The 18,500-nt window shown below is 53.8% G+C and overlaps 2 protein-coding genes and 1 pseudogene across 7 annotated transcripts; 2 read left to right on the forward strand and 1 right to left on the reverse strand.

Annotated features, from left to right (window-relative positions):
- Positions 1-313: 313 nt before the first annotated feature.
- Positions 314-5,982, forward strand: DDTL (D-dopachrome tautomerase like). Of its 2 annotated transcripts, none has more exons than NM_001084393.2 (3): positions 314-448; positions 812-987; positions 4,712-5,982. In NM_001084393.2, the coding sequence occupies exons 1-3, from the start codon at positions 341-343 to the stop codon at positions 4,830-4,832; spliced, it is 405 nt and encodes a 134-aa protein (NP_001077862.1). In that variant the 5' UTR covers positions 314-340; the 3' UTR covers positions 4,833-5,982. The 2 variants fall into 2 exon arrangements, with proteins under 2 accessions (NP_001077862.1, XP_011528118.1); XM_011529816.4 differs by lacking the exon at positions 4,712-5,982 and adding an exon at positions 1,412-3,321.
- On the reverse strand, positions 4,796-13,930 carry DDT (D-dopachrome tautomerase). Of its 4 annotated transcripts, none has more exons than NM_001397485.1 (4): positions 13,838-13,930; positions 7,733-7,865; positions 7,194-7,369; positions 4,796-5,049 (listed from the first exon to the last, which is right to left on the reverse strand). In NM_001397485.1, the coding sequence occupies exons 2-4, from the start codon at positions 7,838-7,840 to the stop codon at positions 4,977-4,979; spliced, it is 357 nt and encodes a 118-aa protein (NP_001384414.1). In that variant the 5' UTR covers positions 7,841-7,865; positions 13,838-13,930; the 3' UTR covers positions 4,796-4,976. The 4 variants fall into 4 exon arrangements, with proteins under 4 accessions (NP_001384414.1, NP_001346.1, NP_001077861.1 ...); NM_001355.4 differs by lacking the exon at positions 13,838-13,930 and adding an exon at positions 13,152-13,254; NM_001084392.3 differs by lacking the exon at positions 13,838-13,930 and having other exon boundaries at positions 7,733-7,867.
- Positions 13,560-17,341, forward strand: GSTT2 (glutathione S-transferase theta 2 (gene/pseudogene); annotated as a pseudogene). The gene is made up of 5 exons (NR_126445.2): positions 13,560-13,735; positions 14,374-14,461; positions 16,054-16,204; positions 16,297-16,470; positions 16,823-17,341. The product of NR_126445.2 is annotated as a glutathione S-transferase theta 2 (gene/pseudogene), transcript variant 1, non-coding (transcript).
- Positions 17,342-18,500: the final 1,159 nt, after the last annotated feature.

An 18,500-nucleotide genomic window follows, 5' to 3' on the forward strand; every position in this document is an offset into this window, starting at 1 on the left:
CGGGCGACCACAGCGCGGAAGCTTGAGAGGGAAACCCACCTGGCGCCAGGCAGGAGGGTCGGGGGAGACAGGGTGGGTCCACTACCGGGTTAAAGACCTGTAGTGGGTGGGGCTACACGTAGGGCGGAGACGATGGGACTTCCGGAAATCAGCCGGCACACGTGACTTTTGTTTGCAGAAGCGGGAGGTACCCTAGGCAGCCAATCGGGGAGCGCCGAGTCTCTGTCCAGCCAATGAGAAGCCAGGTTGCTGTGGCGCCTCGCCCCTCCTCCCTGGTCCGCGAGCCTTGGGTACCCCCAGCTTTTCTTCCGCCAGAGCTGTTTCCGTTCCTCTGCCCGCCATGCCGTTCCTGGAGCTGGACACGAATTTGCCCGCCAACCGAGTGCCCGCGGGGCTGGAGAAACGACTCTGCGCCGCCGCTGCCTCCATCCTGGGCAAACCTGCGGACGTAAGCGTGGGCCGGGCAGCACGGGGCGAGGGGAGGTTGGTGGGCCAGGGGTCCGGCCCTGTCCCTGCTCCGCCTCCCCGACAGTGACCCCGAATCTTTTCCCCAGGGACCACTCCCCACTCCTTTCCTCACGCCAAGCTCTGACTTTCCGTGCTCCACGATCCCGCGGCTCCCCCTCCGCACGTCTTTCCCTTGTCGCCCTCCCCAGTCATGACCCGGGCGTGACCTTCAGGGACCGCGGCCCGTATCGGGATCCCTGCCCCGCGAACACTGCGCGTTTCGGCTTTCGCGCGCTCGGGTCCCGTCCCCAGAGGTAGCCCGGCCGGCTCCAACTTCGGGCAAAACTTTTCATGTCCCCCTCAGCGCGTGAACGTGACGGTACGGCCGGGCCTGGCCATGGCGCTGAGCGGGTCCACCGAGCCCTGCGCGCAGCTGTCCATCTCCTCCATCGGCGTAGTGGGCACCGCCGAGGACAACCGCAGCCACAGCGCCCACTTCTTTGAGTTTCTCACCAAGGAGCTAGCCCTGGGCCAGGACCGGTGCGTAGGGGTAGTAGGGGATCCATGTGGGACTGCCGCAGACTGGAGCCACTGATCCTGCCTCAGGGGGAAAAACCCATTTCTTGCCCTGCCCAGTAAGGACACATCAGGGTCTGGAGCTTTGGGGCCCCCTGACCCCTTAGGTTCCTGCTGTTAGGACCATCTTCAAAGTGCGAGCAGGATTGAATGAATTTCTGGCTCTGCTCCTCAGTGTGTAAGTCTGTGAACCGGGAAGGCTCTCTTTTAACACCCCCGGGGCAGTGCAAGGGTCATGTGGGATTGTCTGTGTGCTGTACCTGCCTTGGCACCTGACAGGGTAGGTACACGTGGCTGAAGTGTGATTTTCTAGAACTTTTCCAGGCTGGTCAGAAGGAATTCTGGGTATGTTCTGAAGTTACGTATTTTGGACCTGTGTCCCAGCCAGGTTCCAGGTGAAGTTCACGGGAGACTCACAGAGTAGTGAAAGACCATTGGCCTGGATGTCTAGACATCTGCTTTCTGGGTCCTGCATAGCTGGGGGACCCCAGACAAACTTGGAAATGAACCATCTCCAGTTGGCAACCTCCTCTTCTGTGAATACAGGGGAAAAGACCTCCCTCCCCCACAAGAAGCGTCTGCAACCCAAACCTGGCGTTCTGTGACCGAGTTAAAGTTTCCTCTTGGGTAAAAGATATTCTTGAGCCACATCCATGTCTAGGAGGAAGTAAGGGCATGAGAAGCTTGAAAGGACACTGTCCAGGCACGGTGGCTCATGCCTGTAATCCCAGCACTTTGGGAGACCAAGGCGGGAGGTTCATTTGACCCAGGAGTTGTAGACCAGTCTGGGTAACATAGTGAGATGCCATCCCCCAAAACAGTTTTAAAAATTAACCGGACATGGTGGTGTGCACATGTAGTCTCACTTAGTTGGCAGGCTGAAGTGGGAGGATGGTTTCAGCCCAGGAGGTTGAGGCTGCAGTGAGCTATGATTGCGCATTGCACTCCATCCTGTGTGACAGTGAGACCTTGGCTCACAAAAAAAGACCTTCTGAAATGGAGCCTTTGTTAGTCCATGAAGGTCGATGAGGAATGGCTGATCCTGCTGGGTCCTCCCTCAAGCTACAGAGGAATAATACAGTCAGCCCCCTGTATCACTGGGTTACGCATCTGTTGATTCAAACAACCATGGATTGAAATATTAGAGGAAAAAAATTGATAATTGCATCTATACTGAAAATACGTATAGACTTTATTCCTTGTCATTATTCCCTAAACAATACAACTATTTACATAGTACGTACATTATATTAGGTATTATAAGTAACCCAGAGATTATTTAAAGTATATGAGAGGATGTGTGTAGGTTACATGCAAATATTACACCATTTTATGTAAGGGACTTGAGCAAATGTAGATTCTGGTTTCCTCTGGGGATTCTAGAACAAATCTCCCACGGATACTCAGGGAAAACTGTTACTCTAACAACAAGTGTTATACACTTACCATGTGCTAGGTCCTCTACAGGTACTTTACACTCATGATCCCATTTGATCCTTACAATCCCTATCCACTCTCCCTTTGCTCAGACAAGACATGCTATCCCCATGAGGTAGATAATCTCCATTATGCCAATTTTATGATGAGAAGACTAAGGCTCTTCATACTCCCCCGCCCTCAGCCAGGCTGTCCCAAGCTGTGGCGCTCCTCACTGAAAACTGCTGTCACCTCTGAGAGGGGCATGTTGGCTTATGGCACAGACATTAGTGGTGGGGGGGCCACCCTGTGCCCAACCTTTGAGAAAACAGGTGTCTGAGGTACTGTGTCCTTAGGGAGTCTGCAATTAGGAGGAGGCAGATTGCCCCTCAGCCCACAGACTGACAGAGATGATGGAGTGTGCAGCACACACGATGAGGCTACTGTGTTGAGTGTCTGTCCTAGGTGGGTCATGCTGATGTGCAGCCACCATTCCACACCTGAGTGTCCCACTGCCCTGCTGGGGGTTGGGGAATGCTCATTACCGGGATGAGCACTTTTGCAAAATGGGCTGAGGTGGGAGGATCACTTAAGCCCAGGAATTCAAGACCACCCTGGGAAACAAAGTGCGACCCCATCTCTACAAAGTCATACAATTAGCCCAGCATGGTGGCATGAGCCTGTGATCCAAACTACATGGGAGGCTGAGGCAGAAGGTTTGTTTAGGCCCAGGAGGTCGAGGCTGCAATAATCTGAGTTTCCACCACTGCACTCACTCCATGCTGGCTGCCTTTGGATTGTTCCTAATTGGATGGTTTTGCTTTCAACAGACACTCCAATAAAGTACACGAAATAAAGAATAAAGTTAAACAGTCAGTCCCAGTGCTGTGTAGGTGGCAGTAAGTCTGGGAGAGCGACCTCGGCTGAACTAACTGTGGTGTGCATCATTGTTAAGCAGGGCCAGCAGGATCCTCATGTCACCTGGCAGGAGGAGGGACAGGGAAGGGTCCCTAGAAGTGACCTTGAGTTGCACTTAGTGCTCTTGGCAGAGGGAAGGGCTTGGGCTAGTGCTGGAGGCATGAAGATGGGGTGTGTTCAGGGCTCTCCAGCAGTCCAGGCATGGGAAGGGGACGCTGAGGGCCAAAGGCGGAGGTGACACTGGGAAGGGAACTAGCAAGGTGAGGACTGGCTTTTGGCCATGTGACTGAATTGCCTGTGTGGTGCGTGTGTATGTGTGCGAATGTCAGTGAACTGTGTGTGAGTGAATTGTGTGTTTATGTGTGGGTGTATATGTGTGTGATGTGAGTGAACTGTGTACATGGGTGTATACGTGAATTTTAGTGAATTGTGTGTAAATGTGAGCAGTGTGAATTTGAGTATGTGGGTGGATAAGTGAATTGTGATTTTGTTGGTGTGAATTGTGTGCCTGTGTGTGACGGGGAGTATGTGTGTGTGTGAGTGAACTGTGTGATGACTATGAATGTCAGTGAATGCTGTGATTGTGTGTGTGTGTGTACGTGTGTGGGGATTTGGTCTATATGTGTGAATTTGAGTTGTGTGACTTTGTTGGATGTGAGTGAATTATGTGACTGGGTGTATATGTGTGTGTACATGAGTTAACTGTGTGTAAATGGTATGATTGTATATGTGTGTGAATGTGATGAATCGTGACTAGATGCGGGTGGATGTGTGTATGTGCATGGTGTGTCCATGAGTGTGTAAGTGTGCAGGTGGCACAGTTGCAACAGGAGAGAAGACACAGGAAGCCTTACCTGCCATTCATCCCCCCAGCTGTCCTCCCAGCCTGGGGACCCCTGGGCTGGAAAGGTTATGAAAAGTGGTGCTACTGCCAGGAAGGGGTGATGGGGCAGCTGGGAGGACGGTTTGAGTCTTGCCAAAGGGAGGGAGTCGAAGCTTGCAACCCTGGGGAGGAGGAGGGGCAGACTGGGGACCCTGCTTCTGGAAAACCAGCGACCAACCCCCAAAGGGACACAGGCAACCCCTGCCTCCACTCTACAGTGGGGAAAAGGGGAGAGTGGCGTGGCAGGCTGCCCAGCCAGTCATGGAGGGAGTAGACTTCAGGAGGAGTACAGAGGTCTGGTCCCATTTTGGGGCTGAGGACAGGAGCCTCAGGTCAGCAGTCTGCAGGAAGGCCCCAGCTGGACCAGCTGCTCACACCTTCCCACAGGCCTGCAGATGGGTGTGGAGAGCAGAGCCTCCAGGCTGAGTCTCCCAGCCCCAGATCTGAGCAGTCTAAATCATCCCCCTCCAGGTTCCCTACGGTCTTATCCACCAGCCCTGCTGCCCATGGTGGCCCCAGATGCCCAGGAGAGATAATAGAAGGTAAGAAGTCATGTTTGAATGAGGAAGCTCTCTTCATTTATTTCATATGAGGATGAAGAAGAGGATTATGTGATCACAGGAATGTTGCATGCGGGATAATCCAAAGCTGGTTATCTCCAGGCCCTCACTCTGCCAAGAGATCTCTCTGGAAGAAGCAGCCAGTTCACAGATGCCCTGGATCCCTCCGTGCCCAATCATAAAAAAGTCATGACCGTCCCTATCTTGCCAATCTGCCAGGACTCCAAGGGGAAAAAGCGGATAAGTATCCTTCAGGAGACAGAGAAAAAGATATCATCAGCTCCTTGGCTAATACCACATCTTGCAAGACCCCTGCCAGGTACTCCCACTGTGGGTACTCAGGACAGCCTGCCTCAGTCCACCAGGCATTTTGCAAACCTGCTCATCCCAATAATGATTTTCCCCAACCCCCAGCAGGGCAGTGGGACACTCAGGTGTGGGAGGTAGCCGCACATCATGACCCAGCTAGGACAGACACACAATACAGTAGCCTCGGTGTGTGTGCCGTACACTCTATCATCTCCATCAGTTTGTGTACTGAGGGGTACCCTGCCTCCTAATTGCAGGCTCCCTAAGGGCACAGTACCTCAGCCACCTGTTTTCTCAAAGGCTGAGCACAGGGTGACCCCCCACCCCACCAACCCCGCCACTAATGTCTGGGCCATAAGTGAACATGCCCCTCTCAGAGGTAACAGCAAGTTTCCAGTGAGGAAAACCAGAACTTGGGACAGCCTGGTTGGGGCGGGCGGGAGTATGAACAGCCTGTCTTCTCATCATAAAATTGGCATAATGGAGATTATCTACCTCATGGGGATAGCATGTCTTGTCTGAGCAAAGGGAGAGTGGATAGGGATTGTAAGGATCAAATGGGATCATGAGTGTAAAGTACCTGTAGAGGACCTAGCACATGGTAAGTGTATAACACTTGTTGTTAGAGTAACAGTTTTCCCTGAGTATCCGTGGGAGATTTGTTCTAGAATCCCCAGAGGAAACCAGAATCTACATTTGCTCAAGTCCCTTACATAAAATGGTGTAATATTTGCATGTAACCTACACACATCCTCTCATATACTTTAAATAATCTCTGGGTTACTTATAATACCTAATATAATGTACGTACTATGTAAATAGTTGTATTGTTTAGGGAATAATGACAAGGAATAAAGTCTATACGTATTTTCAGTATAGATGCAATTATCAATTTTTTTTCCTCTAATATTTCAATCCATGGTTGTTTGAATCAACAGATGCGTAACCCAGTGATACAGGGGGCTGACTGTATTATTCCTCTGTAGCTTGAGGGAGGACCCAGCAGGATCAGCCATTCCTCATCGACCTTCATGGACTAACAAAGGCTCCATTTCAGAAGGTCTTTTTTTGTGAGCCAAGGTCTCACTGTCACACAGGATGGAGTGCAATGCGCAATCATAGCTCACTGCAGCCTCAACCTCCTGGGCTGAAACCATCCTCCCACTTCAGCCTGCCAACTAAGTGAGACTACATGTGCACACCACCATGTCCGGTTAATTTTTAAAACTGTTTTGGGGGATGGCATCTCACTATGTTACCCAGACTGGTCTACAACTCCTGGGTCAAATGAACCTCCCGCCTTGGTCTCCCAAAGTGCTGGGATTACAGGCATGAGCCACCGTGCCTGGACAGTGTCCTTTCAAGCTTCTCATGCCCTTACTTCCTCCTAGACATGGATGTGGCTCAAGAATATCTTTTACCCAAGAGGAAACTTTAACTCGGTCACAGAACGCCAGGTTTGGGTTGCAGACGCTTCTTGTGGGGGAGGGAGGTCTTTTCCCCTGTATTCACAGAAGAGGAGGTTGCCAACTGGAGATGGTTCATTTCCAAGTTTGTCTGGGGTCCCCCAGCTATGCAGGACCCAGAAAGCAGATGTCTAGACATCCAGGCCAATGGTCTTTCACTACTCTGTGAGTCTCCCGTGAACTTCACCTGGAACCTGGCTGGGACACAGGTCCAAAATACGTAACTTCAGAACATACCCAGAATTCCTTCTGACCAGCCTGGAAAAGTTCTAGAAAATCACACTTCAGCCACGTGTACCTACCCTGTCAGGTGCCAAGGCAGGTACAGCACACAGACAATCCCACATGACCCTTGCACTGCCCCGGGGGTGTTAAAAGAGAGCCTTCCCGGTTCACAGACTTACACACTGAGGAGCAGAGCCAGAAATTCATTCAATCCTGCTCGCACTTTGAAGATGGTCCTAACAGCAGGAACCTAAGGGGTCAGGGGGCCCCAAAGCTCCAGACCCTGATGTGTCCTTACTGGGCAGGGCAAGAAATGGGTTTTTCCCCCTGAGGCAGGATCAGTGGCTCCAGTCTGCGGCAGTCCCACATGGATCCCCTACTACCCCTACGCACCGGTCCTGGCCCAGGGCTAGCTCCTTGGTGAGAAACTCAAAGAAGTGGGCGCTGTGGCTGCGGTTGTCCTCGGCGGTGCCCACTACGCCGATGGAGGAGATGGACAGCTGCGCGCAGGGCTCGGTGGACCCGCTCAGCGCCATGGCCAGGCCCGGCCGTACCGTCACGTTCACGCGCTGAGGGGGACATGAAAAGTTTTGCCCGAAGTTGGAGCCGGCCGGGCTACCTCTGGGGACGGGACCCGAGCGCGCGAAAGCCGAAACGCGCAGTGTTCGCGGGGCAGGGATCCCGATACGGGCCGCGGTCCCTGAAGGTCACGCCCGGGTCATGACTGGGGAGGGCGACAAGGGAAAGACGTGCGGAGGGGGAGCCGCGGGATCGTGGAGCACGGAAAGTCAGAGCTTGGCGTGAGGAAAGGAGTGGGGAGTGGTCCCTGGGGAAAAGATTCGGGGTCACTGTCGGGGAGGCGGAGCAGGGACAGGGCCGGACCCCTGGCCCACCAACCTCCCCTCGCCCCGTGCTGCCCGGCCCACGCTTACGTCCGCAGGTTTGCCCAGGATGGAGGCAGCGGCGGCGCAGAGTCGTTTCTCCAGCCCCGCGGGCACTCGGTTGGCGGGCAAATTCGTGTCCAGCTCCAGGAACGGCATGGCGGGCAGAGGAACGGAAACAGCTCTGGCGGAAGAAAAGCTGGGGGTACCCAAGGCTCGCGGACCAGGGAGGAGGGGCGAGGCGCCACAGCAACCTGGCTTCTCATTGGCTGGACAGAGACTCGGCGCTCCCCGATTGGCTGCCTAGGGTACCTCCCGCTTCTGCAAACAAAAGTCACGTGTGCCGGCTGATTTCCGGAAGTCCCATCGTCTCCGCCCTACGTGTAGCCCCACCCACTACAGGTCTTTAACCCGGTAGTGGACCCACCCTGTCTCCCCCGACCCTCCTGCCTGGCGCCAGGTGGGTTTCCCTCTCAAGCTTCCGCGCTGTGGTCGCCCGGTTCCTAGCCCTATTAGAGGTCTGAACACCACACCCCCGACACACAAGGACACACACACACCTATAGGGGTCTTCCCCAGGCTCGACCCTAATAACCAATACAACGGGAGCTTAAAGTTTTTTTGAATGATTTGCCACCATTTCGAAGTCAGGCAATTTCATGTTCAGTATGGAAATCTGCGCTTGGGCAGTCAGGAGATGTGGTTACTCGCGGGGGCGCGGGTAGGGCTAGGCTCACGACAATACCTGTCCCTGCCTGGTCCCCATTGACATCTGCCTGTGTAGCCTCTTGTGCCGGTGGTGAGCCACTGTCCACCAGGGGGTGGCAAAATATGTTCTTTAAAACATGGAAAGGCCGGGCACGGTAGCTCACGCCTGTAATCCCAGCACTTTGCGAGGTCCAGGCGGGCGGATCACCTGAGGTCAGGAGTTTGAGACCAGCCTGGCCAACATGACGAAACCCCGTCTCTACTAAAGATACAAAAATTAGCCGGGCGTGGTGGCAGACGTTGTAATCCCAGCTGCTCGGGAGGCTGAGGCAGGAGAATCGCTTGAACCGGGGAGGTGGAGGTTGCAGTGAGCCGAGATCGCGCCATTGCACTCCAGCCTGGGTGACAGAGCGAGACTCCATCTCGAAAAAACATCAGAAAACATGGAACTCTGTTGGCGTGGCTTAAACATGAGTGTGGTCAGTGTGGCAAAATCACTTGAATTGTACATTACAAATATGACTGAAGTTGTGGTCGAGCAATGTGGCTCACACCTGTAATCTCAGCACTTTGGGAGGCTAAGAAGGGAGGATTGCTTGAGCCCAGGAGTTAAAGATCAGGCTAGGCAACATAGCAAGATTCTCTTCTTTATTTTCTACAAAAAAAAAAAAAAAAAGAAGAAATCTGGGTGCTGTGGTGTGTGCCTGTAGTCCTAGCTACCTGGGCGGCTGAGGCAGGAGGATTGCTTGAGCGCAGGAGATCTAGGCTGCAGGGAGCTATGACTGTGCCACTGCACTCCACCCTAGATGACAGAGTGAGACCCAGGCTCCCCCCTCCCCCACAAAAAAGAAAGAAAAAATTTGCAAGTTTATATGTACAATTTCAACTACGTGTATAAAATTCTCTATAAGTGTGCATACTTAAAGGAGCCTCCACTGAAAGGCCGACAGAGTCTCTGTCTGTCATGATCTTGTCCTATTAGCAGTTTGTTTATTAGATGACTCAGATATCAGAAGGTCTGAGACACACGACAGGTAAATATGACAGTCCTAAGGGGAGAGGGCAGGGACAGGTGGCAAGTCTGGGACCAGGTGTGGGGCATGGACAAGCCAGTGGTCCGGGAGTGGGGTGTAGAGAAGACTGTGGTCAAGGTTATGAGGAGGCATGGGAGAGGGCCAGGAAATAACCAGGGACTTCCCTTCCTGCAAGGAGGTTCATGAACCAGCCCTGCACCCCACTTGTGGAACACAACATCGCCCCACAGTGAGGAGAGAGACCGAGGAGACCAAGGCTGATCCTGATTCAGACATCTTTCCACCAGGTCACCCCTCATCGATGATACATGCTCAGTCCGGGGGTATCCCCCGCAAGGAAACACTGGGGCTGAGGAGCCCAGAGAGGTCGCCTGACCTGGACTGGGGCTGGGGAGGTCAGGGAAGTCTCCCTGGAGAAGAGACAGGGTGCCAAATGCCAAAAGACCAGGAAGGGCACCAGGCGAAGATGAGGAGGGAACAGCATGAGCGGAGGCCAAGAGGCCAAGGTGGGAGCCCAGAGAGGGGTTAGGAGTGTGCAGGCAGAAGGGGCCACCTGGAGGAGTGGGAGCAAGGCCTTGAATGCAAAGTTCAATGACTTGTACTTTAGCTTCTGGGCAGTGAGGAACCATACAAAGTTCCACACAGAAGGTCAGGGTCAAGTAAGCGTTTGCCCAAGCTCTTTTCAGAGGTCACATGGAAGCTAGAATGGAATGGGGTAGGAGACAAAAGGAATGCAGGCATGATATCTGGAGGAACTGTGGACCAGAGCCTTTGCAGATATGTCTTCTCTTCAACCAAGGAGACGGACAGCTCCATGTCTTTATTCTACCAACACAGCATCCCCTCAGTGGCTCAGCAAGTGTGGGACACGCACTCACAGCAAGAAAAGCTGCATTAAGGTCTTCAGATTCTCTTTAACAGCAGGTTCTACTGGAGGCAGGTCCTTGGCCTTCAGGACAGCTGGGAGGGCCTCCTGGAAGAAGTCCTCCCGCACTGCAGCCTCCACGTGTTGGGCACCATGCTGCCACCGTGGGTCTGCTTTCAAAGACTCAGCAGCCAGCACTGATGGGCTAGGGGAAGACAGAGTCAGCGGAGGGGCTGGGCATAGCCAAGTGTAAGGCAGCATGACCTGCTTTAGGGGTTCTCTGATTGGATTTTCCCTCCTCCACCATGTGTGTGATGGGCTAGGATGTCCCCCTCCCTGGGGACACTTGGAAGCCTCTTAATATAGCTGCGGTGAGGGGTTTGTAAAGCCCCATTTTATAGATGAGGACACTGAGGCTCAGAAGGAGAAGTGACTCACACAGGGTCCCACAGCCAGAAAAGACAACATGAGCTGGGATGTCAGCTCCCTTCCCGGATACACCACTGCCCAGCGGGCCACCGCACCCCATGGCACTCTCATGCCTCAGCTCCGTGATTGCCACCAAGCCAGCCACAGAGATACGGGGCCCAGTAAGGAAGGCCTGGTCCCGCAGGAACTTGTCCTCGAGCAGCTGCAGGCATCCGTCCAGCTCAGCCAAAGTGGCCGCCAACATCTCGGGTGGCACTGACTCGCCCAGGAACACAGGGATTATTATCTGGTGGGCCGACAGGCAGAGAGAGGGGTCAGGGTCTGCCCAAAGCCCATCCTGGTTCCCACCATCATCCTATCATCACCAGTCCTTGGGATTTCTGCTCACCTCTGCTCACTTCTTTCCACTCATAGCCACCAGTAGCTCTCATCTCCTACTCAAACAGGGACAGCCTCCCCCTTCTCCCTGGGTCCTCACACAAGGCAACCAGTGGGATCCTTCTGTAATCTCAATCTGCCCGTACCCTCTCTTGCATAAAGCCTTCCATGGCTCCCCACTGCCCTCATGAGAAAGGCCTCAACACAAAGCCAGCCTTCTCCAGTGCGGTAGCCATCCCCTCCCCACTTTTCACCTCACCTCCTACTACCCCCCACTTATCAAACGGGAATGTGTGTATGAATCCTCCCTGGAATCTGGTTACAGTTTATGCTCCCAATCAGTAAGGTCAGAGTGGGGCCTGAGCCTCTGCATTTCCAACAAGCTCCCTGGTGATGCTGATACTCCCAGTCCATTGACCACACTTTGGATAGGAAGAGTCTACACTTGCTCTACTCAACTTCTCTCCATTCTGTCCTCAAACACACCACGCTTCCTTCCCCACCAGCTGGAGGGGGCTCTGCTCCCAGGCCCCAGAGGTCAAGGCAGACACAGTTAAGGTGTGGAAACCTCCTTATTGCCCGATGGATCCTCCAGAGAGGCGGTCCCTTACTTTCAGCAGGGCGCGTGTCTACCTGTTTCATGCTGTCTCACACACAGGGTGCCACCCCTGTGCTGGGCACTGGGTAAGTGCTCTGTACATATTAATTAGGAGTACTCATTTCAAAAATATGTGTGCCTTTGATAAATAAAAACAGTATGTGCATGTTGTGTTGGTGTGTGCTTCCTTGATTATTACTGAAGTTAAACATGTTTTCATCCATGTATTGACCATTTCTCTTTGTCCTTCAATGAAACCTCTGCTGATTTCCTTCGCTCATTTTTTTCCTGTGTCTTCGTCTGATGAGTTTCTCTTCTTTTTGTTTGTTCGTTTGTTTGTTTTGAGACAGTCTCGCTCAGTGGCCCGGCTGGAGTGCAGTGGTATGATCTCAGCTCACTGAAACCTCTGCCTCCAAGGTTCAAGTGATTCTCCTGTCTCAGCCTCCCGAGTGTGCCACCGCACCCAGCTAATTTTTGTATTTTTAGTAGAGACGGGGCTTCACCGTGTTGCCCAGGCTGGTCTCAAACTCCTGACCTCAACTGATCCGCCCATCTCTGCCTCCCAAAGTACAGGGATTACAGGCGTGAACCACCACACCCTACCTGTCTGATGGGTTTCTAAGAACATCTTAAAGGACATTACTTCCTTCTGACGTATCTTTTACCGAGATCCTTCCCAGTTTTTTGCTTAAGGTTAATCCATTTTTTCCTCCACAAAGTAACCTTGTATATGTATTGGTTTTTTCTTTGTTGAGTTCTCCCACTGTTCTGAGGCTTAGAAAGTCCTTTCATACCCAGACATCAGAGAAACAGATCCCGTGAGAGTAACTGGGATTGCAGGTGTGGGCCAGCATGCCCTGTTATCACTCCCTTTCTCTGAGTCAGCTTTTCTCTCTCAGTCTCGTCTACTCCTCGAACTCAGGAAATGTCACTACAGGTGGCCCCAGCTCCCGTTTACCTCCCCATAGGGAGCTCCTCTCTCCAGTTCCAGTTTCAAAACTCCCAAGGAAGCATTCTGGTTCACTCGCTTGGGCCACTGGCCAGAGGGATGGGATACTCTGAAAGATTCAGCTAGAGTCCCGGGCCCAGCCCTGGACCATCACTGTGCCCCCTGGTGAGATGCCAGGGCTGGGATTCAGGGAGAAGAAAGGAGGTTCCCGGACAGTCATTCCTGCCTCCCGCGGCTGCGGGCTCCCTGCCCCCATCCTGTGCACGAAGTGGGAGCTCCCGCTGTCTGGCAGCTCCCGCTGTCTGGCAGCAGCTGCTCTGCAGGGGACAGTCTGGACGGCAGAAAGTTCATCCTTAACCCCAGCCTTCCAGTCAAGGTTCCCACCAGTTTGGGACACCTGCAAGTGTCACATCCCACTGGGTGAAACTCTAAGATCCCTTTTAGGGGATCCCATTCGCTCCCTCCCTTCCGCCACCATGCAGCGCCGAGAAACAGAGCTCTGAACGAACCCTCAGATGTCCGTGCGCTGGGGCCTTTCCAGGACGGCGGCGCCCAGTCGTTTCTGGGTCAGGGCGACGCCTGGAACTGGGCAGGGTCCCTGGCACCGGGATCCCGAAAAGCAGACCTGCTTCTCCCTGTCCAGCCGGTTCCCCTTCCCCTTGCAGTCGGCCCCCTGCATCCGCGTCCTCCCTGCCAGTCGAGGGTCCCCAGCTCCAACTCCACCCTCCCAGCTGTGCGTTCATAGCGACCGCCCTCCCTGTAGGGACGCACGGATCTGGTGGTGGAGTCTTGGCCGGCAGGACTGGACAGGAACCGAAGGGGCGAGGCGGGTCCGGGGGTGGTGCGCTCCAATTGGGTGCTGTCCCCAGGGGGTGGGGCCTGATCCCCTATTTCCCGGCGCGCCGGGATCCTGCCACAGCTGCTGCCCACACCGCGCTCAGCGCCTTCACTGCCATCCCCGCTGTCCTTGCCGCCCCCGCCATGGGCCTAGAGCTGTTTCTTGACCTGGTGTCCCAGCCCAGCCGCGCCGTCTACATCTTCGCCAAGAAGAATGGCATCCCCTTAGAGCTGCGCACCGTGGATTTGGTCAAAGGTGGGCCCAGCCCGTTTCCCCGCGTGTCCACAAACCCAGTGCACCCCCAGGCCCCCGCCCTGCTCTGCCCTGAGCGTCTCGCCGCCCGCACAGCCCCCTCACCTCCTCCTGCAGCGTCTGCCACCAGAGAATGCTGTGGACTGAGTGGCCTTGAAGGGATCACAGCCTCTCTGAACCTTAGCTTGCCTTCTGAAAAGGAGGATAATGTTACCTTCTGCTCTGTAGGGATGGAAAGAAAATACTGAATGGAGTTGACAGAGTTCTTGCGTGGAATGCACGCATATAAATTCACAAAGCCCAGAAGACCTCGGGAAGAAGGACATACTGTTGTGAGAATTAAGAGATGGGAAGAGATGAGCCACCCCAGTTTGCCTCCCCTCCCCTGGCCCACCAGAGTCCGGCTAGAAAACTTCTCTTTATCCACCTGCTGCACCTGGCCCCACCCACCAAAACCCCCCAGCTGCCCCGGAATGTGGCAGGGCAGGGAGGCCCAGCCAGGGAGTGAGGCTGATCCAGGCCTCTAGTCCCAGACCTTGCTGTTTCTCAGGGCTGTGGGGCTCCGCTTGGGGAGGAGGAGGGAGGGTGTAGAGGTGCAGCGTTTTTACTCTGAAGACCTTTTCTGACTTCTTCTTCTTCAGGGCAGCACAAGAGCAAGGAGTTCTTGCAGATCAACAGCCTGGGGAAACTGCCGACGCTCAAGGATGGTGATTTCATCTTGACCGAAAGATGCCCTCCTTCCCTCACCCCTCACCGCATCCGGAGCCCATGTGACCTTGGCTCTCCCCACTGGCCCCGGGCCCCAATGGCCCTCCCATACCCCATGGGGCAGCGAGGGAGGGGAAAGGCGAGGGATCTGGCCGGGCGCGGTGGCTCACGCCTGTCATCCCGGCACTTCGGGAGGCCAAGGCGGGCGGATCACGAGGTCAGGAGACCGAGACCATCCTGGCTAACACCGTGAAACACCGTCTCTACTAAAAATGGAAAAAAAAATTAACCGGGCGTGGTGGCGGGCGTCTGTAGTCCCAGCTACTCTGGAGGCTGAGGCAGGAGAATGGTGTGAACCCAGGAGGCGGAGCTTGCAGTGTGCTGAGATCGCGCCACTGCACTCCAGCCTGGGCGACAGAGCTAGACTCCGTCTCAAAAAGGCCGGGCGCGGTGGTTTACGCCTGTAATCCCAGCACTTTGGGAGGCCGAGGTGGGCGGATCACGAGGTCAGGAGATCGAGACCATCCTGGCTAACACGGTGAAACCCTGTCTCTACTAAAAATACAAAACATTAGCAGGGCGTGGTGGCGGCCGCCTGTAGTCCCAGCTACTGGGGAGGCTGAGGCAGGAGAATGGCGTGAACTCAGGAGGCGGAGCTTGCAATGAGCAGAGGTCGCGCCACTGCACTCCAGCCTGGGTGACAGAGGGAGCCCACTCCAGCCTGGGCGACAGAGGGAGACTCCGTCTCAAAAAAAAAGGAAAGAAAGAAAGGAGAGGTATCTGGGGAGAAGGTACAGCTTGGGGTGTGTCCGGGATGAGCAGGGGCTGACAGAACATGTCCCCCCACCTCTCATCTTCAGCCTTTTCTGAGCCGCAGGGCCTCTCCACTCCCAGACTGAAGGGTATTAGAAGAGAAGACAAGGGAACATTTTTCCACTGTTGCGCATTTGTTCAACAAATGCTAGCTGAAAAGAGCCTCTAGTGACTTGTCGCAGACTACCCAATCTACCCAGGCCGGGCCTAGAGGCCAATGCCATGGCCCAAGGGCACAGCTCATGGTGAGGTCCAGCTGCTGGGCAGGAAAAGGACAAGAGGTCAGGTGGCTGCAGAGGTGATGGCTGGGGGCCTGTCAGACGGGGGCCAAAGACATTCCTCCCCTCGTGATCCCTGACCCAAGCGCGTGGACATGCAAGGGACTCCACGGAGCATCCACTGTGTGCCAGCCCCATGCAGGGTTCCAGGGGTCCAGGGAGCCTATTCTGAGCTGCACCGCCTCGGACAAGTCACTTGACCATTCTGACCTTGAGTTTTCTCTTGTGCTAAAAGGCTAACAGGAGTGTCTACCTCACAGGGCGGCTGCTGGCATATCACAGAGATGAGGTTCTCAAAATGCAAAGCAGAAGGTCCAGCCAAGAGTCGGTGCCCAAGGCAACAAAGACAGGAGGAGACTCGTAGGAGGAGGGGGTGGTGTTGGGGAGCTGGAGATGGAGGGCGAGGCTGGAGGGCAGTCCTTCAAATGCAGAGAAGCCCCCGGGCCCCACTGGCAGATGGGAGCAGTTAGGGGTAAATGCCTGGTGCCAGTGTCCTTATAGCCACTGCCCATTTGTTCCCAGCTCGGCCATCCTGATTTACCTGAGCTGTAAGTACCAGACGCCGGACCACTGGTATCCATCTGACCTGCAGGCTCGTGCCCGTGTTCATGAGTACCTGGGCTGGCATGCCGACTGCATCCGTGGCACCTTTGGTATACCCCTGTGGGTCCAGGTGAGGAGAGCCATCTGGAGAGTGATTGGCCATCAGGGAGTAGTTGGCAGTAGGCCGGGGCCATAGACTGACCCACTCTCTGCCCCCATCAGATGTTGGGGCCACTCATTGGGGTCCAGGTGCCCGAGGAGAAGGTGGAACGCAACAGGACTGCCATGGACCAGGCCCTGCAATGGCTGGAGGACAAGTTCCTGGGGGACAGGCCCTTCCTCGCTGGCCAGCAGGTGACACTGGCTGATCTCATGGCCCTGGAGGAGCTGATGCAGGTGTGAGCTCAGCCTGTGGGCAGTGTCCCTCTTCGTGTCACACCCATGAGGCAGACAGAAACACTGAGGCCTGGAGAAAGCCAGAACTTTGCCCAGAATCATAGAGCAAGTCTCTGGATGATCTGGGGCCAGAACCCTGAACTTCTGCCTCCTGCCTGGGTGTGGGGTCTCACCCTGGCTGCTCTTGGGCTCTAAGGCTGAACATACTGCCTGGGCCCCTGTGGTCCATTCACTTAGGGGCTGGGGAATGGACCATGTCTCTGATACTTCTGCCCATGGTTCCAGCATTCGGGTCGGCAGTGACAACTGGGAAAGTTGTATGCCCACAACTTTTTCATCCTTGTCCCTACAGCCGGTGGCTCTCGGCTATGAACTGTTTGAGGGACGGCCACGACTGGCAGCATGGCGTGGATGAGTGGAGGCTTTCCTGGGTGCTGAGCTATGCCAGGAGGCCCACAGCATCATCTTGAGCATCCTGGAACAGGCGGCCAAGAAAACCCTCCCAACACCCTCACCAGAGGCCTATCAGGCTATGCTGCTTCGAATCGCCAGGATCCCCTGAAGGGTCTGGGATGGGGGCCAGGAGATTAGCAACAAGGATTCATTCTGTTACTTACTTGCCCCTTTTTATCTTTCCCTCTTGCCCCAGTCCCTTCTCTCCAGCTTCATGTGAAGCTCTGCACAGACAAGACACTCAGTGTCCTTGGCAGTGCTGCTACTCCTCAGGTGCAGCATACATAACCAGTAAGAGACTAAATCTGCAATATATAAAGAGCTCCTACAAATCAGTAACATGAAGAACACTCAAAAATTGGCAAATGTCATCAGTGTTTTAAACAGAATAAAGATTCCAAACACTTTGAATAGAGAACCAAGAGTTATTGGTTTTACTACATTGTTGTGTTATACATATGGAGTAAAAGTATGTGCTAGTAATCCTCATCATGGTTAATAACAAAGTAACCTCACAATAACGAGTCAACATAATTGTATCACCAGGGCAACAAAATGTTAAGTAAGTAACCAATTCGAATTGCAAACTGTTAAAGGATATAGGCGATGTTTCACAGGGCATAGCAACGGTCTTTGAAGTCTAGGAAACTTAAAAGATTTCTTTTAACAAGCATTCATGTCTTCTAGGACAGTTTTGTAATAACTGCAAATAGTAAGATTATACATTGTCACACAGACCTCCATGTATATCCATGGGATGGACCCCACCACAATGATTTTAACGGAGAGAACTTGATATAAAGAATTGGTAACCAGGCATTAGAGAACTCCGAAGACAGAGAGAATCCAGATTAACACGGAGGTAAACACTGCAAGAAGCTACCACCCCTAGGGCTGGGGGATCAAGGGAGGAATTAGGAAGACCAAGATGCTGGAGGGGCCCTGAAGAATTCAAACCTCCAAGAAAGGTGTTGCTCATCCCCCCTAGCATCACCTTCCAAGAAGGGCAGGTTTCCCCAGTTTGCCCTGAGGTCTTCACAGGAGGCCATGTGGCTGTGGATGCAGTTCTCAAATGTGACAGTAGATGTCACTGCTGACCAATAAACAGGATGTTCCAGACACACACTGCGCTACCTGCCCACATGTCTTGTGGCTTTGGGGCCTATTTCCCATGCCTGACCTGTGCCCACCATGTGCCACTCTATTGGGGGACCTGCCCCAATAATCACGTAGATTGTTTCCTATTTTTCCTAAGTGTCGGCCGGCTTGAGAAATAAAGGGACAGAGTACAAAAGAGAGAAATTGTAAAGCTGTGCATCCGGGGGAGACGTCACACGTTGGTAGGATCTGTGATGCCCCACAAGCCACAAAAACCAGCAAGTTTTTATTAGGGATTTTCAAAAGGGGAGGGAGTGTGCAAATAGGTGTGAGTGACAGACATCAAGTACTTAACAGGGTAATAGAATATCACAAGGCAAGTGGAGGCAGGGCGAGATCACAGGATCACAGGACCGAGGCAAAATTAAAATTGCTAATGAAGTTTCGGGCACCATTGTCATTGATAACATCTTATCAGG

This window comes from Homo sapiens, chromosome 22 (genome assembly GCF_000001405.40).
Source record: "Homo sapiens chromosome 22, GRCh38.p14 Primary Assembly".
Lineage (NCBI taxonomy): Eukaryota > Metazoa > Chordata > Mammalia > Primates > Hominidae > Homo > Homo sapiens.

Coding starts and splice junctions, on each gene's coding strand:
- DDT (NM_001381852.2), bottom strand. CDS start 7,840: ATGCCGTTCCTGGAGCTGGACACGAATTTGCCCGCCAACCGAGTGCCC. Junction 7,370..7,732: donor TCCTGGGCAAACCTGCGGAC/GTAAGCGTGGGC, acceptor TGTCCCCCTCAG/CGCGTGAACGTGACGGTACG. Junction 6,770..7,193: donor CTAGCCCTGGGCCAGGACCG/GTGCGTAGGGGT, acceptor TGTCCCAGCCAG/GTTCCAGGTGAAGTTCACGG.
- DDTL (XM_011529816.4), top strand. CDS start 341: ATGCCGTTCCTGGAGCTGGACACGAATTTGCCCGCCAACCGAGTGCCC. Junction 449..811: donor TCCTGGGCAAACCTGCGGAC/GTAAGCGTGGGC, acceptor TGTCCCCCTCAG/CGCGTGAACGTGACGGTACG. Junction 988..1,411: donor CTAGCCCTGGGCCAGGACCG/GTGCGTAGGGGT, acceptor TGTCCCAGCCAG/GTTCCAGGTGAAGTTCACGG.